The sequence below is a fragment of the Homo sapiens genome, chromosome 22 (assembly GCF_000001405.40).
Source record: "Homo sapiens chromosome 22, GRCh38.p14 Primary Assembly".
Lineage (NCBI taxonomy): Eukaryota > Metazoa > Chordata > Mammalia > Primates > Hominidae > Homo > Homo sapiens.
In genome coordinates, this window is record NC_000022.11 from 33,310,250 (window position 1) to 33,322,615 (window position 12,366).

The 12,366-nt window shown below is 47.7% G+C and overlaps 1 protein-coding gene across 24 annotated transcripts in view, besides 1 other annotated feature; it reads right to left on the reverse strand.

Annotated features, from left to right (window-relative positions):
- Nucleotides 1-12,366, reverse strand: part of LARGE1 (LARGE xylosyl- and glucuronyltransferase 1) — an 856,162-nt gene that overhangs the window by 243,587 nt on the left and 600,209 nt on the right. For all 24 annotated transcript variants that reach the window (XR_007067993.1, XR_002958722.2, XR_007067994.1 and 21 more), the window contains one exon: nt 5,836-5,999. Coding sequence is in view for 21 of the 24 variants with exons in the window: in XM_024452302.2 (XP_024308070.1) it covers nt 5,836-5,999 (164 nt within the window). In the remaining 3 variants the exon portion in view is untranslated. The remainder of the gene's footprint in view (nt 1-5,835; nt 6,000-12,366) is intronic.
- Nucleotides 11,246-11,375: an enhancer, noted in NCBI's record as "active region_18880". NCBI's record gives its function as "activates an Ori minimal core promoter by ATAC-STARR-seq in GM12878 lymphoblastoid cells {active_cell/tissue: GM12878}" and the evidence as "EXISTENCE:reporter gene assay evidence [ECO:0000049][PMID:35858748]".

Consider the following 12,366-nt stretch of genomic DNA (forward strand, 5'->3'; position numbering starts at 1 on the left):
TCCTTTACTCAGAGAGAGCAGAGAAGTGACCTGTCATCCCCATGAGGCCCCGCAACTGTAGTCAACACTTAACATCTTTGTCAAAAACACACTAAAGAACCAGGCTCTCCCTGGTGTGGTGTCAGAAGATAGGTGAACCCCTCGTGATCAGCTCCCTCTGTCCCTTTGCCATTGGTGTCTTCTGCTGGGATGGGAGGGAAGGGTGCTGAGCTGCTGAAGGAGAAGCAGAACTCCTGGCTTCATGGCCATGGTTGCAACGTTCATTCTTTCTGAACGGAATTCCAGAGGGAGCTGCGTACGGGAGTGCGAAGGCCGGCTCTCCTAATTCGTTGTGGCATTCACGTAGGGCCTACTTCTGACTCGAAGGTTTACAAATATATCTGAAAGGTTTCTTAAATTAAAAATCAATCCAACAGGCACCAGTCCGCGTGCTGCATCATAATCGGATGTGTTGACAGAGTGGAAGTGGCTGCAGGAATTTCTACCATTCTTCATAAGCCTGCAGTGCCGCTTTATAATTTTTAATTGTGGCCCGTTAAGTGCCTCTCATTAGGGCTTGGCATCCCTTGGGTTCTCTTGAGATACTGTCCTGATGGTGATACATGTCACAATACAGGAGTGGGTATCGTGTGTCTGCTACGCTTGGGCTGTCCATGCTTTGAAGGGAAGACCGCTATGGTTGGTGTTTGCTGTATATGTGAGTGGGGCCCGGACTTTTTTTTTTTTTTTGAGACCGAGTCTCGCTTTGTTGCCCAGGCTGGAGTGCAGTGGCACGATCTCAGCTCACTGCAAGCTCCGCCTCCCGGGTTCACACCATTCTTCTGCCTCAGCCTCCCGTGTAGCTGGGACTACAGGCGCCCGCCACCATGCCAGGCTAATTTTTTGTATTTTTAGTAGAGATGGGGTTTCACTGTGTTAGCCAGGATGGTCTCCATCTCCTGACCTTGTGATCTGCCTGCCTCAGCCTCCCAAAGTGCTGGGATTACAGGCGTGAGCCACCGCGCCCGGCCCCGGACTTTCTTTTAAATGCACTGTGTCTGCAGCCCAGGCCAGAAGGATGGATCCCACTGGCAATAGAAGGAGGCACTTGGTTTTGTCTGTATTCTCTTCTTGCTAACTAGTGTATACAGAAGGATGGGTTTGAGCTGTTAATAACTAGAAACATGTTTGTTCTACTTGTTTGCAAATTCCAGATAGCAAATTCTATAGCCAGCAGAGAGGTGAGAAACATTAAGAAAAGGGAAATTAATATTTTCTCACATCAACTACTTACTAGGCACTTTACACCTTATTTTGTAGAACCCAGACAATAATCAGTGAATCTGACGTTATCACCATCTCGTAGATGAGTCAAGTGAGGCTCAAAAAGGCTAAGTAAGTCGTTCAAACTTACACAGCTAGGAAGTGGCACAAGTGTACTTTGAATCCAAGTCTTGCTTTTTTTTCTTTTCTACTACATCACTTTACCTCTCCTAAATAACTATCATGTGCACATGCCTTCGTAAGGATGTTCAGATCTAGCCAGTATTTACTGGATGTCAAATATGTGCTCAGGGCTTTTATAGAGGATCTCTTATTTACTCCTAAACAGGACCCTATGAGGCAAGTAATTTTATCCTTCTTTTATAGAAGGAGGAAACGGAAACCCAAAGATGTTAAGTGACTTGCCCAGAACACCAGCTGAGGATTGAATGAGTTGGTGGGATTTGAACCCGGAGCTCTCTGTCCTTCCGTCTAGTGCCTTTTTACCCAATATCACAAATATTAAGATTCTGGTCAACAGTACTGGTATCATTCTGGGAGCCTCTGAATGTATGTCAGGACTAAGCACTGGCACGCCTTCTCTCATCTGATCTTTGTAACAACCTTAGGGATGAGGATAATGATACAGTTACCACTTTCAGATCACAGATGAAGAAACTGAGGCTTAAAGAAGTTAAGTGATGCACTTTGGGAGGCCAAGGTGGGCAGATCACGAAGTCAAGAGATTGAGACCATGCTGGCCAACATGGTGAAACCCCGTCTCTACTAAAAATACAAAGTTAGCTGGGCCTGGTGGTGCGCGCCTGTAGTCCCAGCTATTGGGAGGTTGAGGCGGGAGAATCGCTCGAACCCAGAAGGGGAAGGCTGCAGTGAGCCGAGATTGCAACACTGCACTCTGGCCTGGCGACACCGCAAGACTCTGTCTCAAAAAAAAAAAAAAAAAAAAAAGTTAAGTGACTTGTCCAAAAACAAAGTGACAGGGCAACAAAGAACCCACAGTGCCTGACTCCAGGGACCAAGTGTCATTCACTGTTATGCTACTCTTTACTTTGATTAGAAAGTATATCAGATTTCTTTGGTAGCCACTGGCCACTAATATTGACTCAGAATATTTTGCTGATAATCTGAATGCATTATCAGGAGGCCTGAATGCAACAGAGAGCCAGTGATGGTTGGAGAAATGGGCACCTGGCTTTAAGTGAAACCCTCTCACTTGCATGGATTATAGTACCTGAGTTTCAGTTAGCTCACGGGAGGGGACAGATGCAGTTGAAAGAGACCAATCTAGACCATCATTCAGCACTGACATGGAGTATTCCATTTTCTTTTTACTATAAATGCCATGGAGGAGAAGGAAACACATATGTGAAAAGAGGGACTTTGTGGTGAGGTGGCTTCCTGATGCTTAGTGGTGGGGAGCCTAGGTGTCCAAACTGAAATCTGGGTGAGAGGCCAAAGGGACCTGAGAATTTTAGGGGTGACTCTGGGACACCAGTTGGGTGTCCCTATGGAGACACACAGGATGCCAGATTTGAGCTGGAAGGGCTGGCCACCTCCCCTGGTTTCCCTGAGGCCCTCTGTGATCCAGCCCTTGCCTACCTGGCCATGTGTATTTGATCTCCTCTTTCTCCCTCCTACACCCTAAGCCCTAACCACACCTTACTATTGTGTTCCCCACTGGCCCTGACGTCTTCTCTGTCCCGTGAACATGCTGCACGCTCTATCTCGGGGAGCCCTCCTTCTCTCCTTCTGTGCCTTCTACTCTCAGTCCACTCAGCCTCCAACTCAACTCAGGTACTACCTCCCCTCGGACACATTCCCTGCCTTTTCCTTTCTCCACTTCCTTGGGCTCTCATAGAATCGGTGCACCTCCTGCACGACACTCAGAACTAAACATCCTACTGTAGACCTGTTTACCTGTCAGTGACAGGCAGAGTTCTATGAGGGACCCCCCAGATTCCCGCCCCGCTGGCGGACATGCCCTGTGTTATCGCCCTCTTGGGTGTGGGCAGGGCTTCTGAATATCACATTGTGATCATGTGATGTTATAGAAGACTCCAGGGTCATGGGCCAGAGAGATTCTCCTGCTGGCCTTGAAGAAGTGGGCTGCCCTGCAGGGAGGGGGCTGCATGGCTAGGAACTGAGCGTGGCTTCGAGGAGCTGAGGGGGACACCCATCAACAGCCAGCAAGGAAATGGGACCTCCATCCTGGAACTGAATTCTGCTCCAACCCAAATGAGCTTGGATGTGGATGCCAATCCCCAGATGACATCCCAGCCCTGGATAATCCCTTGAGATTTCAGTCCTGAGACCCTGGGCAGAGGGCCCTGCTAACATCTTCCAGATTCCTGACCCATAGTGGCCACAAGGTAACAAAGGTGTACTTTTTAAGCTGCTCAATGTGTGGTACTTTGTCACCTAACAACAGAAAACGAATGGGGTGCCTGAGCCCCACATAGGCTGCATACTCCTTGAAGACAGGGATAGGTCTTTTAACACATATTCCCCTCCCACTAAGTGCCTGGTGCAGAACGGTGAGCGGTATTTGCCGAGTGATCATGTGGATGTGGAGATGAGAAAACTGTGGGCCCAAGAAGGGACAGGGCTCGCCAGGGCCCTCACAGCAGGTCAAGCATGGACCTGGTGCTAGAGCCTCCATGCTTGTCCCTTGCTCTTTTGTCCCATGCTGTCTTTACCTGTTACCTGCTAGGATCCCCAAGTTCTCTGTGCACAGGAGTCCCAGTGGCCTTTCTCCAAGTTCTTTTGGAGCCTGTGAATCCCCAAGAGACCGCCGGCCCCTGAAGCCATTGAATTATGCATGTGGTCATTTGCTTGCATGTGGCGGGACTCACAGAGCAAGGAATCCACTTCCCTGAGCCACCCTCAACATGAATCATTCCACGTTGCCTCCAGCGCCAGGTTCCTCTCACTTCCTGGAGCTCTCAAGTGCCTTTATGAAAACGTTTTTGCATCCAGGTGTTTGTTCTTTCATCAGTTTGTCCATTCTTCAGTCATTCATGACTAATAACACCTGGTATTTATGGAACACTTATGTGCCAGGCACTGTTCTCGGCACTGTACAGGCATTAGCTCATTTAATCCTTAGAACAATCCCATGGAATCTCACCCATAGGCTGGATAGGCATCTCTGATGTGGCTCAAAAGACAGAATGAGGAATCAAACTTCCTTCCTAATTGTAGGAGCTGAGGGGGGATGACATGTGAGGGAGTTGGGGTAAGGGCAGCCACTGTGGGCCATGTGTAAATTGAAGCGGAAGCCAGTCTGACAAGGTGGGAAGGGGCACCTGGAATGGCCAAGTATAGAAAAGCCATGTAGCCCTGGCTGAGTGACCTTGGGGCTTCAAATCCATTCACTTCTTGGCAGCCAGAGATGTTTTTAAAAATATATAAATTGGGATAGGTGCAGGGGCTCACACTTGTAATCCCAGCACTTTGGGAAGCTCAGGTGGGAGGATCACGAGGTCAGGAGATCGAGACTATCCAGGCCAACACGATGAAACTCTGTCTCTACTAAAAATACAAAAAATTAGCTGGGCATGGTGGCTGGTGCCTGCAGTCCCAGCTACTCGGGAGGCTGAGGCAGAAGAATGGTGTGAACCCGGGAGGCGTGTATTGCTGTTTATGTGACTAGCTCCATATTCTCAGCCCTGGCTACACGTTATAAGCTTAAAACAAAACAATGCCAAGGGCTCTATCCTACAAAGGTCCTCACTTAACTGCTCTGCAAGGGAGCCTGGATGTGAACGTGTTATACAACTCCCGAGGTGATTCAATCTCCCTGGACAAGGTTGAGAAGCAGTGCATTGGCTTGTAAGCTACATCAGGGCGGGGCTCATGTCCGTACTGCCTGGAAATGCTTGATGGATGTTTGCTTCATCAATACACATAGAAGGAAAAGAAACAGCGTTGCTTTCCAGCCGCAATTGTAGCTCCAGTCTCCCCACTGTCCCTCTTCCTGAGGTAATTCGAGTCGGGCTCTACTTCTTAAGAATCGATCCTTTCATCTATCCTCAGACAATGATAAGGTAAGAGCCCTTGGTTTTCGGTGCTGGGGAGGTGGTAGGGATGTGACACAGCTCACCCTTATCAGTACTCTTTTTTTTTCTTTTTTTTAAAGATGGAGCCGTGCTCTGTCACCCAGGCTGGAGTGCAGTGTCACGATCTTGGCTCACTGCAACCTCTGCCTCTTGGGTTCAAGCCATTCTCCTGCCTCAGCCTCCCCAGTAGCTGGGATTACAGGCGCACACCACCATGCCCAGCTAATTTTCGTATTTTTAGTAGAGACGGGGTTTCACCATGTTGGCCAGGCTGGTCTAGAACTCCTGACCTTGTGATCTGCCTGCCTGGGGCTCCCAAAGTGCTAGGATTACAGGTGTGAGCCACCGTGCCCGGCCCAGGCTTCAATATTCTAAGCCCATGTGCCATCTCTTCCTGCTCCATCCTCCAATTTTAGCAGATGCACTGGGAAGCAGGCACACCCTTCTCCATTCTCTATCCTCCATGTAACAGCCGCGGTGAGGAGACTGGGGTGGGTGAGGCCGTCTGCCATACCTGTCCATGGACAGCTGAGCGACCAGGGTGACGTCCGTGCTGTCTGCTGCAGGCTCATACTCGTAGTGCAGGAAGTACAGGTGGGTGCGGTGGACAGTGAAGCGCTCTCGCCGGAACTCATAGCACAGGTCGTCCTCGTCCAGCTCAGACAGCTGCTTCTGGAGCTGCAGGGTAGGAGAGAGGGCTTGGGCACGTGAAGAAGAGGTCCGAGGGGGCCCATGAGCTTGCCCCTTGAGCCCTGCCCTCCCCTGAGTTTATTACCCATCAGGACGTTGTTGATGGGTCTGACGTACATGGAAGGGATCACCACTTTTATTTCCCTCTGCAACTTAATCTAATTTCAAAAAGGTGATGGTAAAAATCAGATGCCTGGGGACCGGCTGTGGTGGCTCACACCTGTAATGTCAGCACTTTGGGAGGCCAAGGCGAGCAGATCGCTTGAGCCTGAGAGTTCGAGACCAACCTGGGCAACCAGGCAAAACCCTGTCTCTACTGAAAATAGAAAAATTAGCCGGACATGGAGGTGTGTGGCTGTAGTGCTACTCAGGAGGCTGAGGTGGGAGAATCACCTGAGCCCGGGACATGGAGGCTGCAGTGAGCTGAGATGGCACCACTGCACTCCAGCCTAGGCTACAGAGCAAAACCCTGTTTCAAAACAAAAACAAACAAAGAAAAAAACAAAAAAAAGAGGATGCCTTTAACACCTGAGAAATGAGTCCCCTCTTAGCTAAGAACAAAGGTGGTGCTCACTGAAAAACATATAACCAACCATAAACTCCTTAGAAACAAATGAGAAATGTTTTCCTAGACAACTCAGCATAACAATTTCAAATAACATGGGAAAATGGGCTGGGCACGGTGGCTCATGCCTGTAATCCCGGCACTTTGGGAGGCCAAGGTGGCTGGATCACCTGAGGTCAGGAGTTCGAGACCACCCTGGCCAACGTGGGGAAACCCTGTCTCCACAAAAAATACAAAAATTAGCCGGGCATGGTGGCGGACACCTGTAATCCCACCTACTCAGGAGGCTGAGGCAGGAGAATCTCCTGAACCCAGGAGGCAGAGGTTGCAGTGAGCTGAGATCGCACCACTGCCTTCCAGCCTGGGTGACAGAGTGAGACTCCAACTCAAAACAAACAAACAAACAAACAAAAAACAAATAAAACAAATAAAAATAAAAATTACACAGGAAAATGCCCAAAGAAGAAAACGCTCAAAACTGACAAGGACCTCCGTATGACCTGATGCTTTTCTCTCCCTAGAGCTACTGATTTCAATTTTTGTACTAGGTCTCGGAAAAAAACAAAACAAAACAAAACTTAGCACGTTAACAAAACAGAAACTCTTTTCCTTTCATTTCACCTAAGTTTAATCAGAATCTTGGCACCCGTACTTTTTTCTCTTTTCTTTCTTTGAACTCTCTGAAAGTCTTACTTCATTAATCTGCTTGTAGAAGTTGTTTAACTAGCTGTACTTCTCTCTTCCTTCACCAACTTGTGAAAAGAGCAGGCACACCTGCTGACAGGGAGCTAAGAAGATAACATTTCAGATATGCAGAGGCAGATACACAGATGTGCAAATCTGCAGCTGCCCAACAGACACGGTCTCATGTGAACCCCTACCAGGCAGGTATGATGTATGTTTTACAGATGAAGAACTGAAATTAAAAAGTGACACAACTTAGCAAAAAGCTAATCCACAGTGACAAAAATTGGACTCGGGCATGTGGGGTGGGGGAGTGAAGCCTGGGAAGAGGCAAGAGAGGGCTGGGAGTGACAGAAACCCGCTCCACCATGACTGGAGCGATGGGTACATGGATGTGCACTTTCGTGAAAATTCAACAAACTGTGCACTTAGAATGGGAGGACTTGGCCAGGCACGGTGGCTCACGCCTGTAATCCCAGCACTTTGGGAGGCTGAGGCAGGTGGATCACGAGGTCAGGAGTTTAAGACCAGCTTGGCCAAGATGGTGACACCCCGTCTCTACTAAAAACACAAAAAATTAGCCGGACATGGTGGCGGGCATCTCTAATCCCAGCTACTCGGGAGGCTGAGGCAGAGAATTGCTTGAACCCAGGGGGCAGAGGTTGCAGTGAGCCAAGATCATGACACTGCATGCCAGCCTGGGCGACAGAGCGAGACTCCATCTCAAAAAAAAAAAAAAAGAATGGGAGGACTTGTCGGAGGCAATCTGTATTTCCATAAAAACAAACTTTTAAAAAATGATAATTTGTTCTCATTGTTCAATTCCCACCTATGAGTGAGAACATGCGGTGTTTGGTTTTTTGTCCTTGCGATAGTTTGCTGAGAATGATGGTTTCCAGCTTCACCCATGTCCCTACAAAGGACATGAACTCATCATTTTTTATGGCTGCATAGTATTCCATGGTGTATATGTGCCACATTTTCTTAATCCAATCTATCACTGTTGGACATTTGGCTTGGTTCCAAGTCTTTGCTATTGTAGTCACAGGGACACAGGAAGGGGAACATCACACACCGGGGCCTGTTGTGGGGTTGGGGGAGAGGGGAGGGATAGCATTAGGAGATATACCTAATGTTAAATGATGAGTTAATGGGTGCAGCACACCAACATGGCACATGTATACATATGTAACTAACCGGCACATTGTGCACATGTACCCTAAAACTTAAAGTATATTAAAAAAAAATGATAATTTGCCAAAGGTCACAGGAGGGCTGGTTCCATTTTTTTTTTTCTGTTAAATCAGCCTTGTCTATCACACGATAGAATACAGACAAAAGTTTACATGGCAAGGGTTACCAACCTAGCTGAATACCATAGAATGTTTTTCCAAGAAGGTGTACTTTTTTAAATCACCAAATCAACAGTGTAGCAGTCAATAAGAAAATATATTAACTTGCTTCTGTAGAGCTTTGTACCTGTTAAGACCATTGCCTTGACAGATTACTTGATGGCATTATTTCTCAAGATGTGTGCTATGGAAGATGATGGCATTAATTGCTCCAATTCCTTCTCTCTCCCCCACTCCCCGCCACCCCAGATATCCTTGTCCTTTGCAGTGGTGCTTACTAAAGCGGCACAGTTTATTTCTCTAGCCTTGAATAAGGGCTAGAATCATGATGTATTTTTGTTAACAAAAAGCAGGGGAAGTAATATTGTCTCAGTCTTGAGGCTAGACCTCAAGAGAAAGTGTTTCTTGCACCCCTACCATTGCCATGAGAAGATGCCGAGGCTAGCTTGCTGGAAGATGAGACATCTGGGGCAGAGCAGCTCCTCCCCAATTGCCAAAGTCATGCAAGCCAGCCTGGCCCAGCTGCCTCAATAAATACTACTTATTTTTTTTGAGACAGAGTCTAGCTCTGTTGCCCAGGCTGGAGTGCAGTGACGCGATCTCAGCTCACTGCAACCTCTGCCTCCCGGGTTCAAGTGATTCTCTGGCCTCAGCCTCCCGAGTAGCTGTGATCACAGGCACTCACCACCACGCCCGGCTAATTTCTGTATTTTTAATAGAGACAGGGTTTCACTATGTTGGCCAGGCTGGTCTTGAACTCCTGACCTCAGGCAGTCCACCCACCGAACCCTCCCAAAGTGTTGAGATTACAGGCGTGAGCTACCGCGCCCGGCCAATAAATGCTTCTTGAAGGCCACTGAGATCTTACTGGTTCTGAGCAATAGATACTGATAGAGTGCTATTGGTATTTTGTGGGGGGCACTTTTTTATTATGGGGACCTGTACCACATATTGAAGGACAATCAACCTCCCGAGCTCCTGCCCACCAAATGCTTATAGCATTCTCCAGACAGCCCTGTGATGCTCCAAATGTACTTGAACATTTCCAAATGCAGCTTGGGAAACTGGCTGAGATCCAATCATCTGTGAGACACTGTCAACTATCTCTAAAATTTTTAACCGTTAAAAGGATGCAATTAGGGATATTCAGCTTTTCAAGTCAATTTGCTGTCCCTGCCTATTTGAAGATTCTCACCATGCCAACAGTTTAATATAAGACAAGGAAGCTGAAATTCTCATTCCATCTAAGATCTATGACCCCACTGCTTCCTTCTGACCTGTATGATTAAATCCAGATTTCCTTGTTGACAATTACGGGCTGCTCTCTCTGACCCATCACCCCCACACTCTGTGGCCTCATCATTGGTCTGTGTGCTCCCCAAATCTGCCTTTCCCTCACACCTCCGTGACTTTGTTCCGTGCCATGCTCTTCCCTCTCGGGGATGCCCTCCCTCACTTCACTCCACTCTCCTCCACCTAAAAAACCTTCCATTTACCTTTCAAGATTCAGCCCAGATGGCACCTGCTCTGTGAGACCTCTGCAGATCCTGCTGGGTAGAAGCAATCCGTTTCTTCTCTGCGCTCCAAGAGCACTCAGTTCGTAACTCCATTAAAGCACTTGTCAACTTAAACTGAAATTATTTAACGGCAACTTTCCCGGTGAGACTGTGACATTTTACCATTGTCCTGAGCACCATGCCTGGCTTGTGACAGGTGCTAATATCATGTGTTGCATGCCTGAAAAATATTTGCTGTATACAAAAAACCTGTAATCACTGTGAAGTTAAGACTATCCTTTCAATTTTCCTTTTGTGTCCTCTAATTATATGCACAGAAGGTGATCAATAAGCCCATTCTTCAGCCTATGATTTGCTTCAATATTTGCATCCAAGGGTCTGTGACGGCTGAAAAGCTTTTGGAGAGCAAACAAGCATGTGCCAAGCTCCACGTAAGGTGCTGGGTACAGGTGATTTCCTCTCCTCCCCAGAGCCCCCGGTGAGTCACTGGCAGCCTCATCCAACAGTTGAGAAGGGTGGAGGTGTCAAACCTGGGTCTGTGCCCCTCCACCACCATGCTGCTGCTTCAGGAAAGATGCCTGCTTGGCCTCATGTGAAGACGCAGATGCAGCACAGTGGCTAAGGACACTGGTTCTAACCCATTCTGCCTGGATCATCTCAGGTAAGTGGGTGAGTGACCTAACCTTTCTGAGCTTCAGGGTCCTCAGCTGTAAAATGAGGACGACAAAACTCACTACCCCAGAAGGTTATAGAAGGATTCTGAAAGATGCTGCATATAGAGAAAACAGCGGTTGAAGAAAACATTCAACAGATGTCACCTATTATCATAGTGATTATCACAGGAAAGGGAAACACCTGGGCCCCTGAAGACACCTATGTGGATACTTTTTGTCCTCAAACCTCACCTGAAGGAGACTGTATGGCAAGATCCTGGTGGGCAGGGATGGTAGGGGCTGGATGAGCCAGGGTGGCCCTTCTGATTCATACATATTAGAGGGAGTCCCCCTGGCTTTCCCCTTGAGGGCCTAAAATATGCCTATAAACCATAATGTTACCTCCCGGCAGAAAACGTAACCAACTGCTATGCTCCTAAACTCCCTCACCCACACTGCAGAAGAGCACAAGAAATTATCCTCCACTGGAGACTAAACATCTACAAAATTCTTTGCAAGAGCAGGGTTGGCTTTTTTTTCCTTTGGTTTTGGTTTCTGTTTTAATATGCTCAGAAGAATGAAGGGCTTCCAGTTCAATGAAGAGGACAGTGGAAATGTGTGTGATGCGTGGGTGTGAGCGTGGGTAGGCAAATGTGTGTGGAGAAATGGGTCCTTCTTTGATGAGGCTTCAGACAAGTAGCTGGTCCTCACCATGTGAAAATGGGCATTAGTGAGTGGAGAATGAGAAACACATGCATGTATGGGGGTTTCTCATCCCCTTTACTGACTGACTGGTTGATTGACTAAGATGGAGTCTCACTCAGTCGCCCAGGTTGGAGTACAGTGGCACGATCTCGGCTCACTGCAACCTCTGCCTCCCGGGTTCAAGCGATTCTCCTGCCTCAGCCTTCCTAGTAGCTGGGATTACAGGTGCGCACCACCATGCCCAGCTAATTTTTGTATTTTTAGTAGAGACAGAGTTTCACCATGTTGGCCAGGCTGGTCTTGAACTCCTGACCTCAGGTGATCCACCCGCCTCGGCCTCCCAAAGTGCTGAGATTACGGGCATGAGCTACTGCGTCTGGCCTCTCCTTCTCTTTATATGCACACACAGGTACATACCCTTGAGTTGGGGAAAAAGACATTCCCAGGTAAATGGCTCCAGGAACCACTTTCTAAAAAGCATCCATATGGTGAGCTCCTAACAGCAGGAGCTGTATCCCCTTCATTTCTGAACCATCTGAACCTAGCAATATCCAGGTTCTATATCCAATGTTAACAAAGATTTTCTGAGTGGTGGATTCACAGATGAATTTTATTGGCTTCTTTATACTTTTCTGTAGTTAATTAATTCCCTGCATTTTTCTCAAATGAGCTAATGCATGTCAAGTGTTTTGTAAACTCTAAAGTGCTGCAGAAACTTAAGCAATGTGGTTATGATTATATCATGTACCTTTTCAAATCCTAACCTAGGCTTGCTTATTGCTGACTGCGTGGCTGATGTGATCCATCTTGGATGTTCAGCAAGCCTCTGTTGGATGTCCTCAGCCCCTGTATGTTAGGAGAGGGAGTACTGGTCAACGG